The sequence below is a fragment of the Homo sapiens genome, chromosome 4, assembly GCF_000001405.40.
Source record: "Homo sapiens chromosome 4, GRCh38.p14 Primary Assembly".
Lineage (NCBI taxonomy): Eukaryota > Metazoa > Chordata > Mammalia > Primates > Hominidae > Homo > Homo sapiens.
The window spans coordinates 185377701-185396433 of NC_000004.12; the positions used below are offsets into that span (position 1 = coordinate 185377701).

The 18733-nt window shown below is 41.7% G+C and overlaps 2 protein-coding genes across 16 annotated transcripts in view, besides 2 other annotated features; one reads left to right on the top strand and one right to left on the bottom strand.

Moving 5' to 3' along the window:
• Window positions 1–942, top strand: part of SNX25 (sorting nexin 25) — a 174406-nt gene extending 173464 nt beyond the window's left edge. Inside the window, exon 22 of the transcript NR_186775.1 lies at window positions 139–942. The gene's annotated coding sequence lies outside the window, so the exon portion shown is untranslated. The remainder of the gene's footprint in view (window positions 1–138) is intronic.
• LRP2BP (LRP2 binding protein) overlaps window positions 1–18733 on the bottom strand; it is a 33416-nt gene that overhangs the window by 13829 nt on the left and 854 nt on the right. For 3 of the 15 annotated variants that reach the window (NM_001385602.1, NM_001385601.1, NM_001385604.1), the window contains exon 2: window positions 381–507. The exons of 4 other annotated variants lie outside the window; for them this stretch is intronic. In NM_001385602.1, coding sequence (NP_001372531.1) covers window positions 381–486 — 106 coding nt within the window. In that variant the 5' untranslated portion in view covers window positions 487–507. Of the gene's footprint in view, window positions 1–380 lie in introns of all 15 variants that reach the window. 8 more of the 15 variants (NM_001377440.1, NM_001385603.1, XM_024454135.2 and 5 more) reach the window with 7 other exon arrangements.
• Window positions 18347–18536: a silencer, noted in NCBI's record as "silent region_15854". NCBI's record gives its function as "represses an Ori minimal core promoter by ATAC-STARR-seq in GM12878 lymphoblastoid cells {active_cell/tissue: GM12878}" and the evidence as "EXISTENCE:reporter gene assay evidence [ECO:0000049][PMID:35858748]".
• Window positions 18657–18726: an enhancer, noted in NCBI's record as "active region_22259". NCBI's record gives its function as "activates an Ori minimal core promoter by ATAC-STARR-seq in GM12878 lymphoblastoid cells {active_cell/tissue: GM12878}" and the evidence as "EXISTENCE:reporter gene assay evidence [ECO:0000049][PMID:35858748]".

Consider the following 18733-nt stretch of genomic DNA (forward strand, 5'->3'; position numbering starts at 1 on the left):
CTCTAACCAAATGAGCAACCCATCCCTAATATAACATTTTTAAGACTTTAGGGAAGATAAGGTATTTAAATAATAATTGCAAGTCAAGCCTGGCATTGTTCTCTTTAACAAACGTGACATCTGCTTTCTGTTTTCTAGAAGCATGTCCTTAAGTCCTGAGAGTAAAATCAAGACCTAACTATCTGTGAGACCTCACTGACGATTTGCTACCAGATAAATGAGCAATTTCACAGATTCTTGCGGGAAAACTCAAAAGGACTAATGATTAACCACTTCCTTGAAATCAATAAAACACATTATTTCTTGTCTCGTTTGCTCTAGCATGCAAAATGAACTGTTAAAGTGTTTTCCAAGGGAAGCTTAAATATCAGGATTTGTACCAGTCTTTTCCTTTTTCCACTGGAAAAATTTTTGGTTTTTAGCAGCATACTGAGATACAGAGGCATAAAAGGGGTTCTTGGGCAACTTTTCACTGGTCAACTTCATCCTTTTTCTGCAATGTGTATTCTATAAGCAAGAAGAAAAAATAAGTGGTAGAAATTTCTTCCTCCAGCGAAGTGCAAAGAGAGACTCTATTCCCACCAGGTGCTCATTAGGAAAAGCATCCTTCTCTCATCGCCTAGATAGAACACCAACCACCAACTCCAGGACGTGAACATTCTTTACTAGGACACCAAGACCCTCCTCCCTAGCTGAGAGACAGCCATTCTCCATGTCATTTTCCACAGCATCGCATTCACCATGAGACCTGTTTGCACGTCCTGTCTGGCTATGGGTTTATACATCAAGATGGGTCAAGTCACCCAGCACAAGTGTTGCCACTTAGTGGGACCTGGTGACACTGCCCACAGTCAGAGCTCTTCTGCACTGGTACCTTCTCTGCCCTTGTAACTGACACTCATCGGACGAATCCATTTCAAATTAAAGCACTTGTCTATTTTACCTGGGAATACACTTTATTTTAGCTGTTGTTGAGTTTTATCTTCCTGTCTGTATTGGATTGCCATGTTATAAGATGGATCACAGTTGAATGGTAAATCAGTGTCTTCATATAAAATGTAGCGGTCACCTCATTTGGGGTGAAGGAGTCCAGGTTGGCCTAGGCTGAGGGTAGTGAGACAGCAAACTCAGTTGTTGCTACACTTTTGTATTTACTCCTTGGCATTCCACTGTTATGGCTTACTTTCACCAATCAGAAACAAGCTTCCAGCAAAGGTTCCTGATTGGTGGTCAAGAGAAGAAATAGAGAGACCCTTAGTGTGATTGGAAAGCTGCATTTTTATATCATTCCATGATGCTATTTTAGACAATAAATTGCTTAAGTGAGAATGAAGTGCAGAAAAAAGGAACATTTAGTAGGGGAAAAAAATCACTGAATTATCTTTGTGATTTTGGAAGAGTCATTTAATCTTTTTAAGAGTCAATTTCCTCATCTTTAAGTTGGACTATAAGTGGTCTGCATTAAAGGATTTTATAATGTTCCTTTTTAGATATATACAATTCTTGATTATATGATTCCCCAAATCTTATGGTTGCCTTTAGTGAATATGAAATTTCCCAATGAGCTTTACTTAGGGTGAAGCAATATTAGGTAAGGTATTAAGAAGAAAAACAATCCCTATCGGATGGTGCAGATAGCACTCATTTATGACTGAAAGATTGGATGTGGAAGTTTTATTTTCATTGAAGACATTAACTCAATATGCTACTTATCCAAAAAGGCTAAGAAAAAACTGGCATATTCAGGAAGGGCATCAGAAATGAAACAAATCAGAAAACAATACCTTACTTTGTTTAAAACTCATGTTGCCTTTTGTGGTTAGAAGACTGCACATGGTTTTTGCTGCTGTAGCTTAAAAGAAGTTTTGGAGATGTTTGGAAAACTAAATCAAAGATTTACTGAGCTCTTATTAAATGCCAAGTATTGACCTTTGTTGTAAGGCTTTCTAGGCAGCGCCGACAAAACTTTACGAAATAAGGTTCATTATGAGGCTCGTTTAACGTATGGGGAAACCAAGGGACAGTGGGGAAGTTAAGTAACTTGCCCAAGGCCACAGGGCTAGTTAAGGACAGGTAAGCAGAACAGCTGGCGTGTCCCAGCACCTGCGCACTTCTCTCTCTCTCTCTCTCTCTCTGAGACAGCGTCTCACTCTGTCATCCAGGCTAGAAGAGTGCATTGGTACAATCATAGCTCTCAACTGCAGCCTCAACCTCTTGGGCTCAGGTGATCCACCCACCTCAGCCTCCCAAGTACTTGGGACTACAGGCATATGCCATGACATCCAGCTAATTCCTTAAAATTTTTGTAGAGATGGGGTCTCCATGTTATGCAGGCTGGTCTCAAGTTCCTGGGCTCCAGCAATCCTCCTGTCTCAGCTTCCCAGTGTGCTGCGGTTACCGCAGTGAGTCACCGTGTCCAGGCAATACAATAAATATTGCCTTTTTGATGGATTTACTGGGTATTTATTGGATTGACTAGATATTTATTATGTTTTGGGAATTTTTAGCTTCCTGTCTTGGATTGGCGTCTTTTATTAGCTCCCAAACATTCTCAGGGATAATTTATTTGTGTTTGTTAGTTTCCTGGGGCCGCTAAAACAAAATATCAAAAACTTTGTGGCTTAAAAGAACAGAAATTTCCTCTCTCACAGTTCCGGAGCCTAGAAGTCCAAAATCAAGGTGTTGGCAGGGCCATGCTTCCTCTGGCCCTAGGGAAAAATCATCCTAAGCATTCCCCACCAGCTTCTGGTGGTTTCTGGTGATGTCTGGTGTTCCTAGGCTTGTAGTTGCACAACTCAACCTCTGCCTCTGTGTTTACATGGCCTTCCCTTCATGTCTCCTCTATCTCTGTGTGTCCTCTCCTCCCTCTTATGAGGACACCAGTCATTGGAGTTGGCACCCACCCTAATCCAACATGACTTCCTCTTAACTTGATTACATGTAAAATATCCTATTTCCAAAGAGGTTCACATTCACAGGTTTCAGGAGTTAGCACTCAGATATATCTTTGGTTGGAAACACAAGTCAACCCACCATGCTCTTCAGAGGCCCCAATCTATTTCATTTTTCTCTCCAGCATTTTGATAAGACCTTCTCCTCATGTCTCTTAAATTTGCCTTTCAGATTTTCCATCGTTTTTTTTCTCTCTGACACACTCTGGGTAATCTCTTCAGTAATCTCTCCCTTTTTATTAATTCTCTCTTTAGCCACATCTAGTCTGCCATTAAAGCAATCCATTTAAAAACTGTTTACTGAAGTAAATGAAAGATACAGAAATGTATATGTAAGTTTACAGCTTGATAGATTTTCACAAGCCAAACACATCCATGTAACTAGCTCTCAGATCAAGAAAGAGATCCTTACCAGCACTTTGGAAGTCCTGTTGTATTCCCTTCTAGTCACTACATGAACTCAAGTGTAAATCCTATATGCACCTGTAATGGCACAAGTTACTTTTTCTTGTTTTTTACACTATATAAATGGAATCATACAGTGTGTAATATTTTGTGTCTAGCTTCTTTCCCTTGACATTGATTCATCCATTTTGTTGTGTTAGTTGTAATTTTTTTCCTTCATATTGTTGTATTACATTGTGTGAATATATCACAATTTATCTTTTCTACTTGATGGACTTTGGGTAGCTTCTGTTTTGGACGATTAGGAACATTCTTGGGCCTGCTTTTTCCTGAAAATTTATACATGTTTTTGTTGCGGATAAACATAGTAGTAGTAGTTACTGGGTCAATGACTATGCATAGTCAGCTTTTGTAGATACTGCCAAATAGTTTCCAAGTGATTGGGCACAAAATCCCTTTTTAAATTAATTGCTGATTTAGATTTCTGGTAGTTTGAGTAATTTATGGGAAGACTGCTTGGTTCATTTGAGTTCTGAATATAAATCACCCATTCAATTAGGCTGACTTTTCAGGAGTCCTAGTAAAAAGTTTTTAGTTGTCCTGACTATGACAAGTATGAGACAGCCTCTAATTCAGGCTGAAGAGTCCTGGCTATTTCCAAAGAGGGACAGGAAACTACAGCTGTTTTGGGGGGCTTCAGTCTGTTCCTCAGAAGAATGTGAGGAAATTATTGTATGGCTCATCCTGCATCTTTATACTTCTGATTTCCTGAATTAACATTTATGTTAATCCATTTGTTACACTTTTTACAAATTGATATATAATTCACATACCATAAAATTCACCCTTTTAAAGTGTACAATTCAGAGGTTTTTAATATAATTACAAAGTTGTGCAATAATTACCGCTATGGAATTCCAAAACCTTTTCATCATCCAGAAGAAACACTGTAGCATCGGCAGCCACTCCCCATTCTCCTCCCTTCAGTTCCTGGCAAACACTAATCTACTTTCTGTCTCTATGGATTTGCCTATTTTGGATATTCTATATAAATGGAATCATAGAATATGTGGCCTTTTATGTCTGGCTTCTTTCACTTAGCATAATGTTTACAACATTCATGTACTTTGTTGCATGTATCAATATTTCATTCCTTTTTATGGATGATTAACATTTCATTATATGGATTTTTAAAAAATCTGTTCATCAGTTGATAAGCACTTGGATTGTTTCCAGCTTTGGCCTATTATGAATAGTGCTGCAACAAACGTCTGCGTACTAGTTTTTGTGAGGATACATGTTTTCAATTCTCTTGGGTATGTACCTAGGAGTGGAATTGCTGGGTCATATGGTAATTCTATGTTTGACATTTTGGGAAATTGCCAATCTGTATTTCAAAGTGGTTGTACCATTTCACATCCCTACCAATAGTGTATAAGGTTCTACATCCTCACCAACACCTGTTGTTGCCTATCTTTATTATCACCATCCTAGTGGATGTGAAGCGCTATCTCATTGTTGTTTTGATTTGCATTTCTCTAATGAAAAATCATGTTGAGCATCTTTTCCTGTGCTTCTTACCCATTTTGCATTTGTATTTGTAAATGTCTATTCAAAGCTTTTGCCCATTTTCCAGTTGGGTTATAATAGTTCTTTATATATCCTACATACTAGTCTCATACCAGTGTATAATTTGCAATTTTTTCCCAATGTGTGGATGTTTTTCTTTAACAGTTTCTTTTGATCCCAAAACCTTTTATTTTTAATGAAGTCCAGTTTTTCTATTTTTTCTTTTCTTGCCTGTGCTTTAGGTGTCACATCTAAAAGAAACCATTGCCTAATCCAAGGTCACAAAAGTTTACCCCTGTGCCTTCTTCTAAGAGTTTTATATTTACTCTTACATTTAGGTCTTTGATCCATTGAGTTCATTCTGTGTATGAGGGAAAGGTCCAAATCAGTTCTTTTGCATGTGGATATCCATTTGCCCAGTACCTGTTTGTTGAAAAGATCATTCTTCCCTCATCATTTGTTATACTTTCACCTCAGTAGTTGTGTTTTGAAGTATGTATATTAAATCTTTTATAGGCAACCTTGCATTTAAACTTTGTGCTCTGAACCATCTAACTGTATTCAGGCTGGGTGTGGTGGTTCATTCCTGTAATCCCAGAACTTTGGGAGATCAAGGTGGGAGGATCACTTGAGGCCACAAGTTCAAGACCAGACAGGGCAACGTAGTGAGGCCCTGTCCTTCCAAAAAAATTAAAAATAAAAAAATTAGCCAGGTGTGGTGGTGCACACCTATAGTCCTAGCTACTCAGGAGGCTGAGGGGGGAAGATCCCTTGAGCCCTGGAGTTTGAGGCTGCAATGAGCTATGACTGTGCCATTGCACTCCAACCTGGGTGACAGAGTGAGACCCCATCTCCAAAAACACACTGCTGCTGCAAAATGTGTCTTAAGTATGTTAGTGTCGTTTGTGGGTTGTGTGCCTGTGCAGAAAACAGTTACCACGGCAGGCCCGAGGCTGCCATCTTTACAAGGGCATACTGGCAAGGCTGGCATTTGGCTGACATCAGGAACTTGGCACTTCCATCCCCTAACTGGTAAGACTGGTTTTGCTGTGTTTAAACTGTTGCATAAACAATGTGATTTGTGGTGACTATCTGCTTTCCTTGTGGAATTCTGTCATTTTGGTAGCTGCTAGGCAGAGGATGCCTACATGACTTGCCCCCAACAAAAACATCCCTCCGGGCTTCCTTTGGGACAAACACTGTGCCCATGTCCCTGCATTCTTCACTACTGGAGACAGGCAGGTGCGCCGTGTTTTTCCTCATGGAAGGGAGAGAACATAAGCCTGGGCGTGGATTTCTTCAGATTCCACCTGTGCCTTTGTTGTTGTTGCTAATCTTGTTGTGTATTCCTTTGCTGTAATAACTGTTGCCCATGAGTACAACTATATGCTGAGTCCTAGTCCTGACACAGTACCTGCTATGCTTAGAGTGTGTGTCCCTCCAAAGTTCACATGTTGAAACTTAACCCCCTAAGGTGATGGTATTAAGAGGTGGAGCCCTGGGGAGTGACGGGAGGGTTCTGCTCTTAAGGATGGGATTTGTGCCCTTAGGAAAGGGTTAGATGCAGAGAGCTCACTCTTTTGCCATTCTGCCTTCTGCCATGTGAGGACACAACAAGGCACTGTCCTGAAAGCTCTCACCAGACACTGAATCTGCCAGTGCCTTGATTTTGGACTTCCCAACCTCCAGAACTATGAGAAATCAATTTCGATTGTTTATAAATTACCCAACTAAGGAATTTTGTTATAGAAGGAGGAACAGACTAAAACACCACCCTAGACTATGTCATATAAATAGGAGCCTAGACATTCCATTTAACTTTCAATGGGCCAAGTGTTTAAAGTTTCTGGGTTTTTAAAATTAATTACATTTGCTGATGCTTCTGACTGGCTCTTTTGACACTTAATAGTTGGCCTAATCCAATGTTGAAATGAAATAATGAATAGCTGTATTTAAAGTTCTTTTAAAATTGAGGTTCAACACTGAAGTTCCTTTCATACTAGATAATGTTCCTAGTGCCCAAGAAAACAGAGATAAATAAGCCTCCCCGGCAAACCCTCAAACCCGTGTTTATTGTTATTTTTCCTTTCATTACTATTGCCTAACAGTAGTTTTTTAAAAACCCCATAGTGTTCATATAGTAATTGGAAACACCATCTACACATATATGATGAAAAATTAGAAGAGAATAACTTACTGAGATCTCAAAAGACAATACTGATTCAGGCAGTAGCTTTCTGTTCTTCCCACTCCGCCCTGCATCCCCCTCCCCGCCCCCCGTCCCCCGCCGCCCCTTTCAGCTAGGTCCGTTTGTGTGTTTAAAACAAAAGTGCTTTTTTCCCACCCCTTCCTTTTGGGTGTGGCAGATTTACACCATCAGGCCCTGAAGAGAGGAAAAGTGTGGGGAAAGACAGGATGTGTTTTATGACCAGATAAGCTGTGGCAAGCACGGGATGAAAGAGTCCAGTAGCTTTTGATTTTATTTTTCTCTGATTTACCATGTATTCTGTGATCAAATAAAACAGGCTAAGAAACACTGATACGTTCAAAATCTTCCCGCCGTTTGTGTGGGCCCACACGTCTATTTGTTCTGTTCCCAATGGGGAAACCTTGTTGGCAGTTACAGCTGCCGGGTCTTCTCTGGAGCCGATACTGTTACAGTTATAAATACACTCCGGGATGATTTACCCCCGGAGGTCAGCTAGTAAAATACATGAGTAGAATTCCTTAAAGTATGTGATAATTGCTCATCACTATCCAAGTGTGACATAAATCATAAAAAGAATTGACAAAATCAGGGTCGCAAAGAGAATTGAAAAAAATCTGTCACAACCAAAATTTAAATTGACCTCTGTCCTAGAGTATGAGAGCCACACTGAACAGAAAAACCAGATAAATCTTTTATAAAATATTCATTTGCAGCCCCATTAACGTTGCTTGTCACCCCACCTCCCCATGTCCTTGGACAAACTGAATGTATAGTAACATCATCCCAGGCCAGGCGCGGTGGCTCATGCCTGTAATCCCAGCACTTTGTGAGGCTAAGGCAGGCAGATCAGGAGGTCAGGAGTTCAGGACCAGCCTGGCCAAAAAGGTGAAACTCCGTCTCTACTAACAATACAAAAATTAGCTGGGTGCGGTAGTAGGCGCCTGTAATCCCAGCTACTCGGGAGGCTGAGGCAGGAGAATTGCTCAAACCCGGAAGGTGGAGGTTGCAGTGAGCTGAGATCGTGCCACTGCACTCCAGCCTGGGTGACAGAGCAAGACTCTGTCTCGGGGAGGGGGGGGGGGAGATAAAGAAATAACATCATCTTATACTGTCAAGCTCAAGGTGTCTGCAGCCTTATCTTCAGGGGAAGTTGTGTCTTTCTCAGGGAAGATACAGATTTCAATTTAGAGCAAGACAGAGAGAAGTTACATTCAGAGAGGAAAATGCAGTAGTCTAACTGAAATGAAAAACAAAACAAAGAGTCGTGGTATCACCATTATTATGCAGTCACATTTGAGAAGTTCTGGACAAAAAATAAAACACAAAACAAGCAAGATATATTTTAAAAAGAAGCATAATTATCTTTCTTGTACATGATGATTGGATCTCTGGGAATCCAAAGGGATCAGCTTAAAGGCTGCCTGATATGATTAGCTCAGGAGAGTGGCAGGGTATGAAATAAATGAACAAAAATGAAAAGCATATCTTTCATAGCCAGTGAGAAAGTACACTGGGCAAGGAATGCTCATTTGTAATAACACAAAAATATAAACTATGTGGGAATAACCTCAGATAAGTGTCTATGACCTATATGCAAAAAACTATTAACATTTTAAATACTAATTTTAAAAATCCAGGCATCAGTCAGAGGCCCAGAAAGTGGTGGGCAGAGAGGACAAGAGAAAAGGCTGGGCTCCAGCCTACCTCAGTGCTCTTAAGGGCATGGGGCAGGTGGATTCCAGCCATTTCTGTGCTTTGGAAAAGCTGCCTGATGGTGTTTTAGTCTTTGCACAAGCTGCATCCTCACTAGTCCTGGCCCAAACTTTTGGCTATAGGAGACAGGTACACCCCAACGTGACCCCTGGACCTTAAGAGACTACACCCTCCAGCAGTGCCTGGGACTCTTGTAAACGGAGGAGTCAGTAGAAATGTAGTTGCTTTGGACTTACTGAAAGGACTAGCTAGTGGTGACAAGCTGAGGCACCAGCACTACGAAGGCCACTGAGCTGAGGACAGAGGCAAGTGGATGCCGTGGAGACATGTACGTACATGATGTTTACTATTATATAAAAGTAAAGAAGCAAGGGGAGAAAAGACCCTATGTGTAAACACATCAAAACCATTGTGTTGGCAGGGTGCAGTGGCTCATGCCTGTAATCCCAGCACTTTGGGAGGCCAAGGTGGGCAGATCACCTGAGGTTAGGAGTTCGAGACCAGCCTGGCCAACATGGTGAAACCCCGTGTCTACTAAAAATACAAAAATTAGCTGGGCTAGTGGTGGGTGCCTGTCATCCCAGCTACTCGGGAGCCTGAGGCATGAGACGAGGGGCAGAGACTGCAGTGAGCCGAGATTGCGCCCCCGCACTGCAGCCTGGGTGACAGAGCGAGACTCAGTCTCAAACAAACCAACAAAAAACCACCGTGTGAACTGTGGATTATGTGCAGGTATATAAGGCCGTATCCGAAACCTTGGGAACAGAAATGTTTTAGAATTAAGACGTGTTTGGATTTTGGAAATGCCACACAATGTACAAATAACATATAACACATGTACACCCTACTGCAGAACCGCCTGGGCATGGTCTAGAATTGCACCCTTTTGCCATAGTTGTGTTTCTGCAGTAAAATATAACACTGTTCACACAAAATGGAATAAACACTAAATACAGTCTCAGGCGTGTGCAGCTAAGATGATCTTGCTGCCTTAAGAATTATAAACATACTGTGTTTCAGACCCTCATGTCTTTTTGAATTGCAAGTAAGAGACTGTGGACCTGCATGTTTCTCTTCTCTATTTCTCAAATTTTCTGTAATAATATTGTGGTGAGGTTACAAACATACTGCCATTGGCCACAGATGGACAGCCATAAGGCTATCTGTCCTTGCCTACAGCAGCTCCATATTCCCCACAAGGTCCCCACCCCGCTGGATAACGGGTTCTTGCAGAGGTGGGCAGCGTCTTCACACCAGAGCTCGAGAAGCCAGCCCCCAGCCCCGGGCCTTCTCCCACGTCTCCGTGCCTTGAAAGCTCTCTCCCAACTTGGGTTCTGAGGCAGGGGTGGAATGAAGGCCTCTGGATATGATTCCTCCCTCTCTAACTCCTTTTCCCCACTGTCCCGTGGAAGTGGAAAGGCTGTGTGACGAGCCCTCGACAGGAAAAGCGACGCAGTAGGCCGAGGACAGGCCGGCCCTAGGGGATGCCCCCGTGGTGTGTAGACTGCCCCTTAAGTTCACTGAATTTAAACCTAAGCTAATATTTTCAGGCCTGTGGCACAGCTAGAAACCCAGATGATGGAGGAGTTCCACGGCGTGTAAGGCAGAGATTCGGACTCAGAAATTAGGGAGGTGGCTTCTCACATCCCACATGGTAGGAGATGAAGTCTGAGGTGAGAGCAGCGCAGTGGTCTTCTGATCTGATGAGAACGTGTTAGGCTGGTTTCCTGAGGGACAAGTCCATCAAGTCTGCTGTACAAGCAACATCTCATCCTTATTCCCAATATTAATTAAACCTTTGATATAGCCATGTCCCGGGGTCTTATTTCTGCCTACCTACTAACTCAAGATCTTGGGCTCCCAGATTTCCTTTTCCTTTTACTATCTATCTACCTATCTGCCTACCTACCTACCTAACCTGCCTAACCTACCTAGCCTGCCTACCTATCAGGCCTACCTAGGCTATCTATCTACCTACCTATCTATCTATCTAGGACTTCTAGTAAACACAGGTTCGGTAAGAATAAACCTTAAGCTTTTTCTTCTTCTACCTGACAGTGTTCTCACAGCAGTTGAAAGAAAATGTTTCAAATGATAAATTATACAGAAAAATAATATTTCAATTATATATGTACATGCTGTTTCTGAAGGTATGCTATGTATTCATCTACTGTCTTTATATTGTTTAAATGAAGAAAATAGGTTGCACAACAAACATTTCCTTACAATAACTCAAATTTCTCAAAATGTGTTAACATCCTACTCAAATTAATCTTTGTTCCTAAGAGGAGAAAAAGTATAAAATGCTAATCTTACTAATAAAATAATAATAATTATTATTTTTTTTGAGACAGAGTCTTGCTCTGTCGCCAGGCTGGAGTACAGTGGTGCGATCTCGGCTCACTGCAACCTCCGCCTCCTGGATTCAAGCAATTCTCCTGCTTGAATCAGCCTCCCAAGTAGCTGGGATTACAAGTGCCTGCCACCACACCCAGCTAATTTTTGTATTTTTAGTAGAGACAGGGTTTCACCATGTTGGCCAGGATGGTCTGGATCTCCTGACCTTGTGATCCACCCCACCTTGGCCTCCCAAAGTGCTGAGATTACAGATGTGAGCCACTACACCTGGCCTTTTTTAATTTTTATTTATTTTTATTTTTATTTTATTTATTTATTTTGAGAACGGAGTCTCACACTGTTGCCCAGGCTGGAGTGCAATGGCGCAATCTTGGTTCACTGCAACCTCCACCTCCCAGGTTCACGTGATTCTCCCACCTCAGCCTCCCAAGTAGCTGGGATTGCAGGCGCACACCACCACACCCGGCTAATTTTTTTGTATTTTTTAATAGAGACGGGGTTTCACTATGTTGGCCAGACTCGTCTTGAACTCCTGACCTTGTGATCCGCCCACCTCAGCCTCCCAAAGTGCTGGGATTACAGGCGTGAGCCACCGTGCCCAGCCTAAAATAATAATTAAAACAAGTGAATAACAATGTAATATATGATGCTAAGTTCTATTCAGAGTATATATCTAGTATTCTACATTTTCCAGGCACTTTAAATGACCTTCACTAAAAAAAAACAACTGAGTTTCAAACTTTTGAGTGTCTCAAATCATCCAGTAAATCATTTTTAGTTATCCAATTTTATGCAGGTGCAGTTGGTAATACAAACCTTCGTATCTGTTCATCTGCAGTCCTTACCTTCTTTAAGTGAAAGAAACACTGTACAGTAAACACATTTGGACCCCTCTGACCTGGCATTCTTGGGAGTGGCAGGTGGTCAAACAAGAATGACAGTGGAGATTAATAAAAGAGTGTTCAAAAATACCATGTGCACTTTATACCCAAAACGTGTAAAAAAAAGTTATTTCCCAATCTTCTCATTTAGGGCCAGAAGTGATTTAACTAGTGTTCAACCGTGAGAATTTAGAGTTTTCTTGCATAAACTATGGGCATAAGAATTCCAGATTAGGTTTCTTTAAAATGGAGTTTAAATTTTAAAATGCCCATAAACAATCCAAGTACAGAATTCTTTCCCCCATATTTTACAGTTGACTTAATATTCTCATCTACTTCGAAACAAGTTTTCGTAGTGACTTGACTTTGAAAGCATTCATTTTCTTAAAAACAAGCTCTCATGTCTCACTCATATCTCATCAGTTACATAATATTTAATTGAGGCCGGGCAGGGTGGCTCACGCCTGTAATCCCAGTACTTTGAGAGGCCAAGGCAGGTGGATCATTTGAGGTCAGGAGTTCAAGACCAGCCTGACCAACATGGTGAAATCCTGTTTATACTAAAAATACAGAAAAAAATAAAATAGCTGGGCGTAGTAGCCCATGCCTGTAGTCCCAGCTACTAGGGAGGCTGAGGCAGGAGAATCGCTTGAACCTAGGAGGCAGAGGTTACAGTGAGCTGAGATGGTGCCACTGCACTCCAGCCTGGGTGACAGAGCAAGATTCCGTCTCAAAAAAAAAAAAAAGAAAAAAGAAAAAATATTTAATTGAATTACATTTTATAATAATCCTTACAGGTGTAGAAAAACTGACTCTTGGTAGGCATACAGTTCAACTGGTGTGAGCCCAAGTGACTGACATTCTAGAGAATGCCTACGGTCTTCCAACGGTCAGTGCAATGGGCAGTCGGCACGTCTTACGAGGAAATGAAGCGTGTTGGATAAGCAGACCAAACAGCTGTGAGAACGCTGCCACTGTGAGAGCTTTAAGTGGCCTCAATTCCTCTTTTTTGAAGTACACTTTATGTTTTACAATAATTTGAGATGTACAGAAAAGCTGCAAGGATACCACAGAGTGTCCCTCAGTGTCCCCCACTGTTAACATCACATTATAATAGTATGTTTGCCACAACTAGGAAACCAACATTGGTTCGTGAAAATTACCTAAAACTCTATTAGGATTTTACTCATCTTTCCACTGACGTTCTTTTGCTGTGCCAGGATCCCATCCAAGTGAACACACTAGAGTCAGTCACCATGCCTCCTGAGCCTCTTCTGGTCTGCGGCAGTTTCTCAAACTTCCCTTGTTTTTCATAACCTTCACAGTTTTGAGGAATACTAGCCGTGTATCCTAAAGAATGTCCCCAATCAACATTCATCTGTTTTACTCATGATTAGACTGGGCTATGGGTTTTAGGGAAGAATACCGAAGAGGTGAAGTGGCCTTCTCATCACATCGTGTCAACAATCACATCATCAACAGGACTTTCCACTGAGGATGTGAACAATTACTGGCCATGGCAGCATCCAACAGGCTTCTCCACTGTAAAGTCGCTTCGTTTTCCCCTTCCCATACTCTACTTTTTGGAAGCAAGTCATTATGTGTAGCCCACATTCAAGAAGGCGTTGGAGGCGGAATCGTCTTCACCAGGGAATATCTACATTAAACATTTGAAATTCTTCTGTAAAGAAGCATTGTCTTCTGTCTCCCATCTCCCATTTATTTATTTATTCATTCAGTTGTTTATATCAGTATAGACTCATGGATAACTATGTACTGAGTTATAATCCAACAGTACCTGAGTTAGTTCCAGTTTTGGCCATTGGGAGCTCTTTCAGGTTAGCTCCTGGGTCCCTTTCACATGTCCTATCCTTCCACTTACTGGAACAAGTACCAGTACCTTGTTCTGGTACTACACGATGCTCTAGGCTCATCTTGTATTTTCCCTGCCCCAGCCCCAGAATCAGCAATGTCTGCAAGGAGCCCTGGTTTCTTTCACTAGAGAATGGTATTAGAAACCCGGATCTGGGTACTGGGTGTGTTCATTGTTACTGCGGTGTCACTGCTTTAGGCCCTCTCACAGCAGGCAGAGCTAGGACATATGTATATGCATAACCCATGTATACACACACACCTATAATTATTTCTGCTTCTATCCATCTGAATCTATATTAAGCTAACTATGAATTCTTATTGACATCTTGGACAAATCCATTACTACCTGGCTCATTTTAGCCTTTTCTACTAATCTGTAACTTCCCTCTCCAACAATAAGAAACTTGGCTCCCTCCATCAATTGGTTTAATATTAAGGACTAACTTTCTACCTTTTTCTCTACTTCATCTAATTTTACAAATTTATCATCTGTAATTTCCACATTTCATTGAAAGGAATATATAACCAGGAGGAGAAATAACAAAAATATGAAATACCTTTCAAGTTCTCCAAGTTCTTATCACAACAGTGAAGAAGTGAACATTTAAATCTAGTCACCATTGAGACCACTGGACCCTTCTGATTACAGGCTCTCAGGAAAGTAAACATCATCAAAAGAGGATAACTATACTTTGCCTTTTCTTTTTGCCACAATATCCTGTTGCAGCAGTTGTTTAGAATAACTATCCAATTTATCATCTTCCCCAAGAAGTTTGAGTTATCAAGGCTGGAAGAATTTATGTTAAAGAGAAAGAATTTCTTTGTAAGAAATTCTTCCGTTTTTACAATTATTAGGGTAATGGGTTTCTTGACAGTGGCATTGCAATGAAGCCCAGAATTATATTTGATTAATTCAAGTCATCTTAAATCTGTAGATGTTTAAAAAAAAAAACTTAAAAAAAATCTATGGAAATTCCAGATCTGGTTATAACCTTCTGTCTTTGAAAAGTTGTCATATTTGGAATATTATCACCTTCAGTGTATGAACGATAGAAGTATTATTGCCATAATATCATTATTAATTAAAATATCGTTACTTCTAAGGCTCAGTGGACTCTGGTCAGCATTGATATACCATGGGTGCCTGGCTGGCAATAAACAAGACATCATATTCAGAAATGCTTGATGCGTTTGACTTCAATGCTTTGGCGTTATGATATTCTCAAGGGATTTAAAAAATACATGTGAAACCAGGCCAGCTACTGGGATTTTTAGTTTTCAGTATTTTTGGAGATGAGGCCTCACTCGGTCACCCAGGCTGGAGTGCAGTGGCACGATCTCGGCTCACTGCAACCTCTGCTTCCTGGGTTCAAGTGATTCTCCCACCTCAGCCTCTCAAGTAGCTGGCATTACAGGCACGCACCACACACCTGGCTAATTTTTGTATTTTTAGTAGAGACGGTTCCGCCATGTTGGCCAGGCTGATCTCGAACTCCTGGCCACAAGTGATCTGCCTGCCTCAGCCTCCCAAAGTGTTGGGATTACAGGCGTGAGCCACTGCATCTGGTGAGATTTTTAGTTTTACATTATTTCACTTGCTTTAGAGCTGAAGTTTTCTATGGCATTACTAAACATATACAATCCAATTAATGTTTTAAAGTAGGAATGAGTAGGTATTCTCAATTACTCCTCCTTTCAATACTGTGCCTTTTGGTAATGCTTTCCAGTGTTTTCTTGGTCAATAAGAAACAGGAAAACCACAGCAAGCAAGAAATAGATAAAATTAGCTTATCGGTTCCACCAACTACTTTTAATAATTTTCACCTGGCACAATTCACTGATGCAAGAGTAATTACTTTTTCTTTTCCTTTTTTTTTTTTTGAGACGGAATCTTGCTCTTGTCACCCAGGCTGGAGTGCAGTGGCGCAATCTCGGCTCACTGCAACCTCCGCCTCTCAGGTTCAGGCGATTCTCCTGCCTCAGCCTCCGGAGTAACTGGGATTACAGGCACCTGCCACCACGCCCGGCCAATTTTTCTATTTTTAGTAGAGACGGGGTTTCACCATGTTGGCCATTCTGGTCTCAAACTGCTGACCTCAGGCGATCGGCCTGCCTCAGCCTCCCAAAGTGCTGGGATTACAGACGTGAGCCACCACCGCGCCTGACCCTCAAGAGTAATTACTTGAATAAGAAGTACTAGGTTTAGTATTGCGGGAGATTCAATTCCAGGAACAAGGCTACACTGACAGTCATTATTAAATAAAACAGTTGTTTTTTCTATGGATTACAATAATTTTCTCTGAAGACTCTTTTGCGGCCAGGCATGGTGGCTCATGCCTGTAATCCCAACATTTTGGAAGGCCAAGGCAGGTGGATCACTGGAGGTCAGGCGTTTGAGACCAGCCTGGGCAACACAGTGAAACCCATCTCTACTGAAAATACAAAAATTAGCTGGGTGTGGTGGCGTATAGCTGTAAGCCCAGCTACTTGGGTGGCTGACGCACGAGAATCACTTGAACCCGGGAAGACGGAGGTTGCAGTGAGCTGAGATCACGCCACTGCATTCCAATCTGGGCAAGACAGCGAGATTGTGTTTCAGAGTTAAAAAAAAAAAAAAAAAAAAAGGCCTTTGGTTTGCATTAAAGAAACCAATCTTAGCCTGAATTGACCAGAGGTGACCAAAATTATTTAAAACACATAGGTATAAGAATGTGGGCTCTGGAGTCAAACTGACTTCAAATTCCTGATTTACCTGCTAATAATTACATGACAAGTTAATGGATCTCCCTAAGCCTCAATTTCCTCTTCTGTAAAATGCAGATAATACCTATGAGCGTTAGTCTTGAGGCACAAGTGCTCAATTAATGTCAATTTGTAATATAATAAACTGGAATAGACGTTAGTGGTTAATACTTTCTCATTTGTCGGCCTTTCTCTATTTCACATCACAGCTGCATGTGTATCACACACTGCCCCCAGACTGAACTACATATAGTGCTCTCAATACTGGAAGATATTTTACACTTCTTAGAAATACTCTTCCCTTCCTGGACTCCTTAGCAAACTCTTACTACTCAAGATTCAGCCCACACATCTCTCATCTATTCGGTCACTTACTCATCATCCAACGTTTTTTTTAACACTCGCTGTAAATGGCATCCTCGTTCTGGAAACGCATCTACCAGCAATTAAAACATGTAGAATTAGCACTGCTTAGGAGAACGCCTATAAAATATGCATCTTAGATCATCTTCCGTTTTAGAAAATTGATCCCACCTGCTACACGCCTGGTGAAACTCCAGTTACTTGCCAGTAAGATATTGTCCCCCAAATGTACTTATCCTGTTTTTGTGCATTATAAGCTTTGTTCAGTTTATAGTTTCTAGGCCCATTACTAAAGTCAAGTCAGATATCCAGCTGAGATACAACTTTTTTTTCTGAAAACAATGTGAGCAATGGACAGGTACGCTGTGATTAAAGGGAGAAAAGCTGTAACGACTCCCCAAATTTCCTTTCCTTATGAAATTTACGTATGTAACAGGAAGTTAAAAAATAACTACCACTTAATGCATACTGAACAGAATCTTGTTTCAAAGAAAAGATATGAAATATGGAGGCACTTTCACCACACAAATATCCCACTACATATGCTAACTGCAGTATTTATGTTCAAAACTGTAAGAACGTGTCTGATACCCTTTATTAGTTAGGAATTCCTGAAAATGAACTTCTGTGCAAACCTGAAGCTTCAACACGTGTTTTAAAAAGCAGTGCTTATTGAATTGATAAACAAAAGCGAAACTGGCAATATCAACGTGTGCTCACCTCACAAATCTGACAACAGTATCTCTACACTGCCGTTCTTTAAACATCATTAAAAGATATTGTGAATAGTTTAAATATTAAAAATGTGGAATATAAGAACGATTCTATATATTTGAACACACATTTATATTCAAATATTCATATGAATAAAAATGCTTAAAACTACCCCTTGGGTAACTAAGTATAACAACATAAACTTGCGATTGCAAATTTTATGGCTCTTACTACAAAACAAAAAGTAGAATGAAAAGACCACTTATCTTTAGAGGACAAGCATGAACTTGTTTTCTAACAGCATAACAATAAACGTATTTATTTCTCCGAGCTTTCAAAGGCATCAACAGAAGGGAATCACTAAAAATGTAGGGGAAAAGAAACACTCGGCTGGAGCTTTGGTTTCTAAGCAGATCCTTCTGGAAAGACGCTTAGGGAGAGTCTAGGGAGCAGCTCTGACGTCAGTAGCTGCCATCGGAAGTCAGGTCATGTTCTACAAAAAGCAGTGACGCACGCCCGACAGCACCCGCGGGGCCGGACAGCGGCTTCACCAGCCCCGCGGGTCCGAATCGCACGCGGCCGGGTCCGCTCTCCCGGGAGGAGAGCCCGGCGTGGACCAGCGTGACGACCCCAGCGTGCTGCGGCCTCTCCCCGAGGGCCCCTCCACAAGGGTCCCTGCGCGGGCCGGGCTCGGCCGTTGCCACTCGGGACAGCCATCCCCTCGAGTTCGCGCTCGCCGTCCCCGCCTTCACCTCCCGGGTTGGGAGGCGGGCGACTGCGCGCGAGGTAAAGGAACTTGCGTTCCCCGGCGCCGAGGCGGCAGCAGCGCAGTGCACAGCGGCTTCTGAAGGCGGCGTCGACGGGGAGCTGCGCGTGGCTCCCAGTTTCCTGGTTACGTGCGCGCCGGCAGAGCCAAAACCTGCAGCCGAAACTCCCGCTTCTCCGTAAGGATT